Source organism: Homo sapiens, chromosome 6, assembly GCF_000001405.40.
Source record: "Homo sapiens chromosome 6, GRCh38.p14 Primary Assembly".
Taxonomy (NCBI): domain Eukaryota; kingdom Metazoa; phylum Chordata; class Mammalia; order Primates; family Hominidae; genus Homo; species Homo sapiens.
In genome coordinates, this window is record NC_000006.12 from 90898049 (window position 1) to 90910941 (window position 12893).

Consider the following 12893-nt stretch of genomic DNA (forward strand, 5'->3'; position numbering starts at 1 on the left):
TGTGTTTCATTCTCTTCAGGTCCAATGACATGCCTTGTTTCTGTAGTGAAAAATAATCATCATCAAAATATTTGAGTGCTATTTCAACTGAATATCACTTTTTAACATCAGCCTACAAACAAAACATTGAATATTAAACTATAGTTACAGAACAGAATGTGAATGCTATAAACCCTGTGAAGTGAAAGTAATGGTCAAGTTGACAGAAGTCAGGAGGTAGGAATAGATGGTAGGCAGGAGATGTGATGTAGGGTGGGGCTGTAATCTCTTCATCTAATGTAATGGATGGTCAAGAGAGAAAATTAAAAGCTAATGAAATAACATATGAAGGCTTAGAGATCTTATTTAAAGTTATAAAGTTAAGCAGTAGAAAAACTAAAAATAATAGTGCTAATAACACCTGTTGGGGAGGGAAAGGGAGAAAATATAATTAAGGTAATTTTCTCAGCTTTTGTATCACTGAGTCAAAAAGTTAATATCTATAATTGAGAAATCATGAAAGAGACATTGGACATATTTATGACCACCAATGACTAAACTGTGACTCCAAAGAGTAGCAGAACTCAGAATGGGGAGTACGACAGAAAACTTTCCTTTTTTAAATATTCTGTATAATTTGATTTTTAAATAATGGATATTAGTGTTTTTAAATTTTAATCAGTGGGACTTTGCTATTTCATTTCTGCCATAGACTGGTTGGTATATCATGAAAACCCCATGACTGTCTGAGCTGACAGATGGACAAGGCAGGCCAGGCTTTGAATAGACTGGGGATTTGTGACTGAACCCTACATGGACTGACTGGCTGAGCCAGCAGACTCAGCAGAGACCCCAGTCATTAGATGTTGCCTGAGCCATGCGGTAGTAACAATATGACACATCCACAGCCTGGACCAGGTGTCAGTAGAACACCTGTTAGTTGTGATTTCGCCAATAACTGGTTGTGTTACTGGGCAAGTTTGAGGCCTCAGTCTCCTCCTCAATGATCGTAAGCGTTCAATTCTAGACTTCCTCTAACACTGACTTTCTGTTTTTCTATTATTCTCCTTGTCTTATTTTTATTTGTAAGATATGTATAGTTATAAATCTTTTGAACCTAGAATCACAACCCTGGGTACATGATCTAAGAGGCTACTTCAGAATAATATCTTCTCTCTAGGAATGATCTTTGTGTTACCCAACAGCCATCAATCATGGTTATGTCCTGAGTACTGTTAATCTGACTTAAGAATGTGTTAGTTTATCACTAATAGATTTCTTAATTAAATTACTGAAATGGTTCAAAAGAGTTCAAGCTTTTGGGAATAGGATTTAAAGCACATTCTCTTCCATCAGTTTTTACAATTTGAGCTACTTATTACTGATTTAAGGTGTTTTCTGAATGTGTTGTTAAATTTCCTTAAAGCAAGCAGGAAGTTAAAACTTTACAGAGAGCTCAGTTTCATTGCTTGATCATATGTGGCAAAGTAGCTTTGCTTTACCCTGTATTTGAATTGATCCAGTCACATTTTCCTCTAACTTTTTTCCTGTCATCAGTTGATATTTTCAGTAATAAATTTAATACATAAGAAGGTGAAAAATGAGTTAACATTTTTCCATGTTGTTTCTTTGCTTCTAGGTAATCAAGTAATCAAGTCTTAGATCAATTCTTTGAGAGTTTGCACTAAGATGAGGAAAGCCAAGCCCAGTGAGAACGATGTGATGTATATCAGGAGACTTATTTTCCCCTAAGTTTATTGGGTCTTTTGAAGTTTTATTAGGTTTGCAAGGTTGCTTACTGCAGTGACTTGGGAGATACAAGCTGGCCAGAGTACCTTTCCAGATAATAAAAGACTGCATTGCTTGGGTTTTTGACTGCAACTTGGGTTGCTGAAAACTGTCCTGCTCATTCACTGAGTGACGCTGGTTTCATTCCAGCAATTCTAGTTGAATGGGCATTGGTGTGTACGTCATTTAACTGCTCTTTTCTTGGTATTTTGTCTCCCTTGATACTTAGCTTCCCAGAGAGCCAACTCCTAGTAGATCTTCAGACTGAAATGTCAGCTGGGGCCAGAGTATGAGAGGCCTACTGGAAAGCCCTAAACCATTCAGAACATGGGGCTGAAGAGGACAGAGGTCAGGTCAGAGGAGGCGGGCCAAGGTTGAAAAATGGTTCTACAGGGAACAGGAGTGGAAAATGGATTAAGGTGAAGGAGGGGGTAAGAACCAGTACAAATAACTGTGTGCTAAGCCATTTATATACAGTAACACTCACAGTAACACTCTAAGTTAGATATTAAAAGTGCTACACCTAGATCTGGGGAGAGTAATTTGCCCAAGATCACGCAGTTAAGTATTGAAGTCAATATTTGAACTCAGTTCTGTCTGAATCCAAAGCTCTTACTCAATTCTGTTTTATCATTCTGCCTCCCATTGGAGACAGGCAACTGGGTGTTTAATAAAACACTCCTGTGTACTGAGATGCAGGTTGCAAATATGAGTTGGTTTTTTTCCCAAAGACATGTAATCTCACTCATGCTTACATAGCTGCCTGTACAACTTGCAGCATCAAGCCTCCATTTGCAAGCAAGAAACATGGTCTGGGTTGGAATGCCTGGATGGGACTGTGAAGCAGGCTGAGAAGGGATAACTTCAATTCCCTTCTACCCCATTACAAAGCTTATCTTTATAGCACAAGAAATACTTGCTTCTCTGGAGACTAAGGATGCTTTGTTCCTATTTTCTTCTTCATTTTAAAAATGAAATGAAAATATCCCATTAAAGGGAAGTTCCTTATTTCTAACTGTTGAATGCCATGGTACTTAATTTCAGCTTGTTAAATTTAGGGTCTTGAAACAAAATCCCACACATAAATGTTCTCTGGGCCCATGGCATTTCCATTTGATTGTGAATTGGATTAATTTTTATGTATCTTAAGCTCTTGCCTCTCATTCCTTTTTGTTTTGAGATACTTAAACAAATGTTGACGGTTATGGTTGGCTTAATAAGCTGCCTCAGTTATGTAAATGATTTCTGTTAGTTATGTTATTGCTAGTTGAAGATAGCTTTAAGTTTTCTGGCATATTTTTGGGACTTACTAGTAAAGCATTACTGATACCTTTTAACATTCTTTTGCTTCTTCAGGCATCAAGTTGACCTTTTTTCTAGCTCCCTTTAGCCCTACACTTCCTTTTTGAATCTACTGTTTGCTTGACATGAAAAATGAACTTACAAAATTATAGACCCAGTGGCCTTTTCTTAGTCTTCATTCTTCTTGGCCGCTCTGCTGCAGTTGACACTACTGCCTCCTCCTTTTTCTTGAAATGTCTTTCTCCTTTGGCTTCCATGACACTCTATTTCCTGGTTCTTTCTCTCCCCTCTGACTTTACTTTCTGCTCTTCATCCTCTCTACAATCTTTACTACAGACTCGTGCTTTATAGTGCTGAAAGTGATGATAATTGTGTGGCACGTGGGGGTTCCCAGATGAGGCTGCCTGATTCTGAAGGTGATGGGAATGTGGTCTGAGGATAGCAATCTCTTGGCACACCTGTAACCCAATGGGGCACATCCATGTGCTTCTGCATACTGATTGGGAGTTTTGTTCTATGCATTGCAGGGAGCTGAGTTACCTCCAGATCATAGTAAATACGGGATAAGAAAATCAAGGTACAGGCAAATAGTGGGAAAAACCATGATGAAGCACTAGAGATCATAACGGCAGAAAGTCCATAAAGTTTAAAGAGAGGTCAGGGAAAAAGCATTCCGTAGATGCAAGAAACAGCAAGGATTCACACACAGGAGTTCTAACAAGGGCTTAGGGACATCTGTGACAGTGGTCAGAGATCAGAAACAGAAATTAATAACCCAAACTTTCATTTGAACTTGGCTGGAGCCCAGGAGGATATCAAGATATGGCTGAGCACCAGAAATCAGAGCACAGGTGACTGTTCCTTAAGAATGGCCCATCTACAGGTGTCTGTGATGACTGTGCTGAGCTGTGAGAGCAGGCATGGTAGACAATGGAGTGAAGAGCTTAGAATGCAGGTGAGATTCATTCCAAGTAAACCAAACTCAAGATGACTGGCTGCAGCTAGGCCAGGAAGCTTCTTTATCATCACATTACCTCTTGGGGACTATTATTTACTTCCAAGTCTAAAGTGATGGTTTTCTGCCCTGACGTTTTATCCAAATTTTGGTTGGCTAGAAACTGAACTAGAGATCTTGTCACCTCAAGTTCCAAGAGCCAAATACCTTTCATGTCTGAACGCTAGTTCCACTTTCTACTTCTTGGTCTCTTCATCAATCTCCTAGGCTCAAAGTCTTGTAGACATCGTTGACTTGTGTCTCTTTGGTCCCCCATCATCACTCAGTCATTTTCTGGAGAATGTCTCACATTGATCCTCTTCTTTTCCCTAGTTCAGACCCATCTCTCTTATGTCCAAGTCTCTTCACACCTTCTTCCTCTCTGGTCTCACTGCCTCTAGTTCCATTTCTCTCTGAAGTATCTAACACTGACTAGTGTTTGGGAAACTCAGATTTCATTATCTCATTCCTTGACCAAAAGTGGATTCAGGGATTGCCCGTGTCTCCTTTTTAAGTAAAAACATCTTTGGGCAGGGCGCAGTGGCTCACGTCTGTAATCCCAGCACTTTGGGAGGCTGAGGTGGGTGGATCATCTGAGGTCAGGAGTTCGAGACCAGCCTGGCCAACATGGTGAAACCCCGTCTCCACTAAAAAAAAAAAAATACAAAAATTAGCCAGGTTTGGTGGTGCGCACCTGTAATACCAGCTACTCAGGAGATTGAGGGAGGAGAATCACTTGAATCTTGGAGGCAGGGGTTGCAGTGAGCCGAGAACACACCACTGCACTCCAGCCTGGGAAACAAGACTGAAACTCAGTCTCAAAAAAAAAAAAAAAAAAAAACACAAACAAAAAAACAAACAACAACAAAACATCTTTGAGTATTTTAGGCCTTGCTAATCCAGCCTTATATAACCTACTCAGCCACGGTGTAGTTCAGTCTTTTCACTGGCTTGTGGGTGCATGCACTCACTCTCTCAGATCTCACTTGCTTTTTTACTCACCAACTCATTGACCCACCAGAAGAATGGCCCCTCAAAGGAGTCTACATCCTAATCCTCAGAACCCGTGAGTATGAATGTTACATGGCAGGTGGGAATTAAGGTTACGAATCAGTTGATCTTGAGATGATGAGATTATCCTGGATGATCCAGGTGGACCTGACATAATCACAAGGGTCCTTAAAAGTGGAAGAGGGAGGCTGAAGAGAGTCGGAGATGTGATCACAGAAACAGGGTCAGAAGAATGAGATGTGAGAAGGACTTGCTCTGTGGAAGAGAGTCACCAGCCAAGGAGTTCAGGCAGCCTCTAGAAGCTGGGTGAGAAACAGACGCACCTTAGAGCTACAGAAAAGAATTAAGCCCTGCCAACACCTTGATTTTCAGCTTGTGGATTGATTTTAGACTTCTGGATCACAGAACTGTAAAATAATGTTTGTGTTGTTTTAAGCCACAGAATTTATGATAATTTGTTACAGGAGTGGTAGGAAGTCTATACACCAGTCACCTCCAAAATAGTTACAGAGCACTCCTTAGGGACTAGGTGCCCCACTGCCCTCACGGTTGGAGGAATTCACAGTGGGAGACAAGGAGGGAGAGACTCCTATTGACCTAATTCCTGTTCAATTTGATTAATTCATCCACTCACTTAACAAATATTGAGTGCCTATTATGTGCCAGGCACTGTTCTAGGCACAGCAAACAGGTAAAATCCTCACTGTCCTGGAAGTTACAAACTAATTGGAAGACACACACTAAACATAAAAAGCATACAAATGTCAGTGGTAGATAAATGTTATGAGGAAAAGTAAAAGAGGTTTTCAAGACTAAGATGGAAGGAAGTAGCTACTTTTGGATAGGGTGGTAAAGAAAGGCCTCTCTGAAGAAGTAATATTTCAAAAATGTGGAAGAATAGCTCTAATTGCAAACACATTAAATTTCTGATATTAATGTGTGCTTTATAAATTTTCACCATTTAAAAGTGATATGGTTAGGGTTTGTGTCCCCATCCAAATCTCATCTTGAATTGTAACCCCCATAATCCCCACGTATCAAGGGAGAGACCACGTGGAGGTAATTGAATCATGGGGGGTGGTTTTCCCCATACTGTTCTTCTGATAGTGAGTTCTCACAAGATCTGATGGTTTCATAAGGGGCTCTTCACCCTTCACTCTGCACTTCTCCTTCCTGTGAAGACGGTGCCTTGCTTCCCCTTCACCTTCCACCATGATTGTAAGTTTCCTGAGGCCTCTCCAGCCATGCTGAACTGGGAGTCAATTAAACCTCTTTCCTTTATAAATTAGTCAGTCTCAGGCAGTTCTTTACAGCAGTGTGAAAATGGACTGATACAATGAGCTTCGTCACTTCAGATGAGCTGATAATCTTAGTTTGGGGCATGTTGGATGAAGGATCCTAGTTTTTTCCATCTCCTGCTATGAACAGAGACATTTCTGGAGTTTCATTTAGAGTACTGTCATTTAATCTTATTACTTCTAGCCAAAAGTGTTCCCTGTGTGGCTTTCTCTTCAATATCTTTGTTAGTGTCTTTAACAGATTATGAGAAGACCTTCATTTTTAACCCCATTCTTCCTACAATGACCAGAGTAGATGGGCAACTAAGGAATTATCCTACATTAACTTAATTCCATTTCTTGTTTTTACCCATTGTTAGAAGAGCCGTGAGCACATGATTTTTTTTTTGTACTCAGTCATGGCTAATAATTAATGTATTGTGAATTTCTTAAAGTTGGTCTTCTGGACAAACATGTTATAATGAAGTATATTGTGTAATGGACACAGATACCTTTTATTAAAATTGGTTTTTATAGTCAAAAGACCTTTCAGAGAAGGAGAAGGGTTGGCTTCAGAATTATCTATGCTGTATTGACTTTATGGCACCCTGAGGTACTCTTCAAATGCAAATGTGGGTGTTTATTAAGCAGAAACAGTTTCAAAACTATTGTGTTCTGCCATGTTAATGCAGGTAGAAATGTGAAAGCTTCCTGCTTTTATTTTTTTGATATTACTTTTTTGGGGACGATATTGGCTGAAGAATCTATATGCAAGAAAATGCAAGAAAATCACTTAAGGAAATGTATCCATGTTTAAAAGTAGGGATTATCTTTGCGCCCCTGGGTAGGCTGGTATAGGAGTACATTACACTCCCCCTATTCTCTCATACACACCCAGGGTGCAGGCATGTATTTCACAACTAAGCATCTATTTCAATAGCTGTGAAGATACTGTGCAATAGGTAGAACAGCCAACCAGCCGACCATGTGTGTAATCAACTATCTCTTCCCAATGCACATAGCAAATATTTATAGAGCTAGAGGAACTTCAACTCTAATTATCCCTGCTTTTTATTTTCATTCTTACTGCTTCACATGGATACAACAATGTTTCAACTAGAACAAGGCAAACCACTTGGTCATTGGTTTCATATTTACTTTTAACCTGTCTCAGCATGCATACAGTTAAATAGATATAATCCCTGACGTTTGCTAGTTTACAACTAAAGCAATGCTGAAGTAAACAGAAAGTATTAGGGGCATACGTGAGTGGCTTGAAAATTCATTTTTTTTCTCTTGCTGCTTTTAGGATCCTTTATCTTTGACTTTTGGGAGTTTGATTATAAGATGCTTTGAGGTAGTCTTCTTTGGGTTAAAGATGCTTGGTATTCTATAACTCTCTTCTACTTGAATGTTAATATCTTTCACTAGGTTTGGGACATTCTCTCCTATTATCCCTCTGAATAAACTTTCTACCCTATCTCTCCACCTCCCCTTTAAGTCCAATAACTCTTATATTTGTCTCTTTTACAGGCTATTTTCTGGATCTTTTTGGCATGCTTCCTTGTTTTTTTATTCTTTTTTCTTTTGTTTCTTCTCACTGTGTATTTTCAAATAGCCTGTCTTCAAGCTCACTAATTCTTTCGTCTGCTTGATCAATTTTGCTCTTGACTCTGATGCATTCTTCAGTATGTCACTTGCATTTTTCAACTCCAGAATTTCTGCTTGATTCTTTTTAATTATTTCAATCTCCTTATTAAATTTATCTGATAGAATTTTGAATTCCTTCTCTGTGTTATCTTGAATTTCTTTCGAGTTTCCTCAAAACAGCAATTTTGAATTCTCTGAAAGGTCACATGTCTCTTTCTTCAGGATTGGTATTTGGTGCTTTATTTAGTTTGGTGAAGTCATGTTTTCCTGGATAATCTTGATGCTTGTAGATGTTCGTCAGTGTCTGGGCACTGAAGAGTCAGGTTTTTATTGTAGTTGTCACATTCTGGGCTTATGACTGTGCTGCTTGAGAAGGCTTCCAGGTATCCAAAGGGACATGGGCCCCAATCCCAATGTCACTGTGGTTTTTGTGGACTCGTAGAGGTACCACCTTGGTGGTCTTGTATAAGATCCAGAAGAATTCACTGGATTACCACGCAGAGGCTCTTGTTCTTTTCCCTTACATTTTCCCAAACGAAGTCTCTCTCTCTGTGCTGAGCCACCTGGAATAGGGGGTGAGGTGATGTAAGCACTCCTGGGGCCACCACCACTGGGGCTGTGCTGGGTCAGACCTGAAGCCAGCACAGCACTGGATCTTACCCAGGACCTGCTGTACCTACACTTGGCTTCCACCTATGTTCACTCAAGGCCTTAGTGCTCTAATCAGCAGGTGGCAAAGCCAGTCAGGTTTGTATCCTCCCCTTCAGGTCAGTGAGTTCCCCTAGGCCCCGGATATGTCCAGAGATGCTGTCTGGGAGCCAGGGATTGGAATATAAAAACTTTAGAAATTTGCCTAATGTTCTATTCTGCGGCTAAGCTGGCACTCAAACCACAATATAAAGTCCTTCTTGCTCTTCCTTTCTCTTTCTCTTTCCACAGGCAAGGGAGCCTCTCTCTATGGGCACCACCACCAACAACCCATGGAGGGGTTCTGCCAGGCCACTAGCAATGTTCACTTAAAGCCCAACCTCTTCAGTCAGCTTGTGGTAAATACTGCCAGGCCTGGGACTCAGCTTTCACAGCAGTGGGCTTTCCTGTGGCCCAGTGCAGGTCCAGAAATGCTGTCCAAGAGCCTAGGCCTATACTCAGGGGTCCCAAGAGCCTGATTGTTGCTCTACCCCATTGTGGCCAAGCTGGTCTCTGAGGTGCAAGAAAAGTCCCCTTTAGTTTTCCATCTGCTTTTCTCAAACAGAATGAGTCTTGCACCATAGCCACCACAGCTGGGAATGTTCTGGGTCACACCTGTAGTCAGCATGTCTCAGAGCCCAAGGCCCGCGGTGTACTCCCTGGGTAGTGCTGCTGATTATTACAGGTCCAAGGGCTCTTTAGTCAACAGGTAATGAATTCTGCCAAGACTGGGTCCTTCTCTTCAAGGTAGCAAGTTCTCTTCTGGCCCAGGGTGTGTTTAGAAGGGCCTGGGATGCGGACCTCATGACTCTCACTGGTGTTCTATCCTGCTGTAGCTGAGCTGGTATCCAAGATGCAAGACAAAATCTTCTTTACTCTTTGTTTCCCTCCTAGTAAGCAGAAGGAAGGAGTCACCTTCACTGCTGCAAGCTGCACTGCCTGGGGTTGGAGGAGGGATGGCACAAGCACTCCTTCAGCCCTCAAGCTGGTGTCTCCCTAGGTCATGTGCCACCGTAGTCCTGTGGCTCTGAGCCTGACCCAGCACTAGGAGTTGCCTAGGAATTGCAATCTCTGTGTCCTAGACTGCCTTTCCGTTTACCTAGGACCCCAGAGCACTTTGGCCTGCGGTTGCCAGGCTTGCTGAGAAACTCGAGTTCCCACTGATGGGATGGGTGATTCACCTCTAGCTAGGACTGGTCCAGATGTTCCTTCCATGCATGGGAACCAGCTGAGTCCAGCACAGATTTACTCTCCACTATGGTAGGGCAGCACTGAGTCCAATAAAAAGTCCCTCAGTTGCTGTGCTCTTTTTCCCCCAGGTGCATAGACTGGCGGCTGCCAGGGGATAAGGAAGCAGTGGCATTGGAATTCAAGACTGTCTCTCTGACCTTCCTGAATGACTCAGCAATATGAAGTTAAAATCAGGTACTATGGTTGCTCATCTGATTTTTGTTTCTTGTGATGGTGCTTTTCTGTGTGCAGATGTTGTTAAAATTTGATGTTCCTGTCGGGGTTAAAAATGTGTAGGCTTCTATTCTGCCACCTTGCTCCATCCAAGTTTGAATATTTAGTACTCAGATTTATATCTTAATGAAGACAAAATACCCACTCATTTAGGAGGATATGAAGGATGAATCAGCTGGAGCTGCATAGGTCCTTCATGTCCTAGAGTGCATGGTTCATGATCCATCAGCACTGCTACTAAAATGGTCATGTCATGTTTGGGCATGCCAGATTGTTCTGACTTGGCAGTATCAGAATGCTGTTGTAGACATTAATTTTGGGGCACTGCGGAAGTAGATCTGGCTGTTGCTTTGAATCTGGTAAAAAAAAAACAAAAACAAAACGTTTTTGCTTGACAGTGCCTAACAATGCCATGGTAAGAATTTCACTTCTTCTTTTATAAAAGACATGGTACTACATAAAGTAATGTTCACTTGTACTTATAGAGCAAGAGCTATATAAAATTACATATGGGACAAGCTTCTGGCTTCAGCAATTATAGAACTTGTTAGTCAATGATTATTAGGGAATACTACATAGAACAGTATATAATGTTTGGAAAGTGTTACTTACATAACTTCTGGAAAATGAACTCATTTGGAGGCATACCCTCCCATTCCCTCCTTTGTCCTTTTATATCTCTATGTTGTATCTGTTTATTAGATTATTGCTTTATAATAAAAATCTGTAATGTGAAATATATTTTTATGTGGGGAAATAGGAAAATGAGACTAAGAAAACTAAGATGAAACCAGAAACTAGGGAGTTTACAAAGTAAGTGCAACGAGTCCTCTTTCTTTGCTACAGAAGGGCCTCAGAGTTAACTTTGAACATCATAACAACCAAAGCAAAAAATTGTTTTCATACCTTCATATTTATTATTTGACTATGTATTAGATTTGTAAGTCCCCATTGTGTTCTCCTTAAAAGCAGGTGACTCAAGCAGCCAACTAGAACTTCCTAGTCTGCTTTCTGCTTAGGTGATTTGCTGCATGTCTGGCCTCACCATCCTGTCTTCTCCAGATGATACCCTAGTTTATCTTTTAGCCTTGTCTCCAGAATTTATTTCAGACTCCAGGTGAATAAAATTGTTTGCCTTTCCACACTGTCACATCTGCCATATCTTTTCTTTCGTTTTCTTTTCCTATTTTTTTTTTTTTTTTTTTTGATGGTGTCTCTCTCTGTTGCCCAGGCTGCAGTGCAGGGGTGCGATCATAGCTTACTGCAGCCTTGACTTCCCAGGCTTAAGTGATTCTCCTGTCTCAGTCTTCCAAGTAGGTAAGACTACAGGCATGCACTAGTTTTTATTTTTTAATTTTTTTATAGAGATGGATTCTTGCTTTGTTGCCCAGGCTGGTCTTGAACTCCCTAGGCTCAAGCAATCCTCCTGCCTCAGCCTCCCAAACTGCTGGGATTATGGACATGAACTACATGTCTGCCTTCTCTCAAGCTGTGTCTCCTGCCAATGGTGTTTTTTGTCCCCATCCTCCAAGAGTTAGCCCAAATGCACTTCCTTCATAAAACCTTCCAGAATCCCCACAGCCAGAAATGATTTTTTCCAACTTCTCACTCCCATTACTCCTTTGTTTTCTTCTTAGGGCATTTAGCTCCTTATACTTTCTATCATTCATTTATGGATAGGTCTTATTTCCTCTACTTGATTATCAAATACTGCATGGGCAGTGCTCTGCACCAACTAATTCAATACTTTACATATAGTTAGTACTCAATACATGCTTGTTTGTATGAATGAATTTTAACAGGTAAGATTTGAGGTTCTCTATAAACTGCATAGGTTTGGCTTTCTTCCCAACTTGAAGTGAGCTATTTTTTTAGAGTTGCATTTGATTTTAAAAACAGAATTAGGGGACTATAAAAATAGACTGCAATGAGTTATTCCAGCAGTCTCACTGTTTTTTAAGAGTGGTAACGTTCCTTTTATGATGTTTTTCATTTACAGCATGGCCTTAGAGCCAGCTCTTTTTCAAAACACAATCCCATTATTACGGCTGCCTTTTGCCTCAAACAACTTCCCATAACATTAGAGGTATAATATTGCAAGAATAGCTTCTGACAGAGAGGTTTCTAGTTTGTAGTTGGGGGGATACAGGATGTCAAATTGCTCATCATTTCTGGATCTGAAGGGAAGTAGTTTAAAGATTTTATTTTACCTATGTGGTTCCAGCCAACCATGTCATGGAAAACATATTTCCCTATATAGGACAAGGAAATGGCTCAAATAATTCTCACACATTGCTGAAATCCGAACATGAAATAGGATTGATTTCGTTTCCTTTTATTTTTAGGATGATTCTAACAGAAAAAGAGCATACAGGAAGAAATAAAAGGTTCATATTCATATTGAGAGTTTGTTGTTGTTGAACTTTTAAAAAGAAATATGGGTATGAGCCCTTGAAGATTTCTAGGTCTGGATGCTGTGGGGCTTAAGGGATGGATACAGGAGAAGCTGGAGGGATGCGTAGGTGGAAATATCAAATGCAGTAAGGACTGGAGCCCACACCTGGAAGAAAAGGCAAAGACTGTGTTTAGGGCCCTCCGACCTCCATCTGCTGAGGAACCTCTGCCTTGTAGGCCCCCTTGGCATCATCGTTTCCATTTAGACTGATTTATTCTCTACCTAGTTGTCTTGGGGTCAGCTTCTCTTTGTCTTCCAGGACAGGACAACCCCTTATCTGATAAAT

The 12893-nt window shown here is 40.7% G+C and overlaps 1 long non-coding RNA gene across 1 annotated transcript in view, besides 1 other annotated feature; it reads left to right on the forward strand.

The window, feature by feature from the left end:
- The window catches only part of LOC107986623 (uncharacterized), a 324476-nt gene that overhangs the window by 266653 nt on the left and 44930 nt on the right, over positions 1–12893 (forward strand). The window contains exon 3 of the long non-coding RNA XR_001744259.1: positions 10008–10113. This is a non-coding gene — a long non-coding RNA (uncharacterized LOC107986623). The remainder of the gene's footprint in view (positions 1–10007; positions 10114–12893) is intronic.
- Positions 9469–10668: an enhancer, noted in NCBI's record as "MED14-independent group 3 enhancer chr6:91617235-91618434 (GRCh37/hg19 assembly coordinates)". NCBI's record gives its function as "activates an origin of replication core promoter dependent on BRD2, BRD4, P300/CBP and CDK7 cofactors, and independent of MED14, by STARR-seq in HCT116 cells {active_cell/tissue: HCT116}" and the evidence as "EXISTENCE:reporter gene assay evidence [ECO:0000049][PMID:35650434]".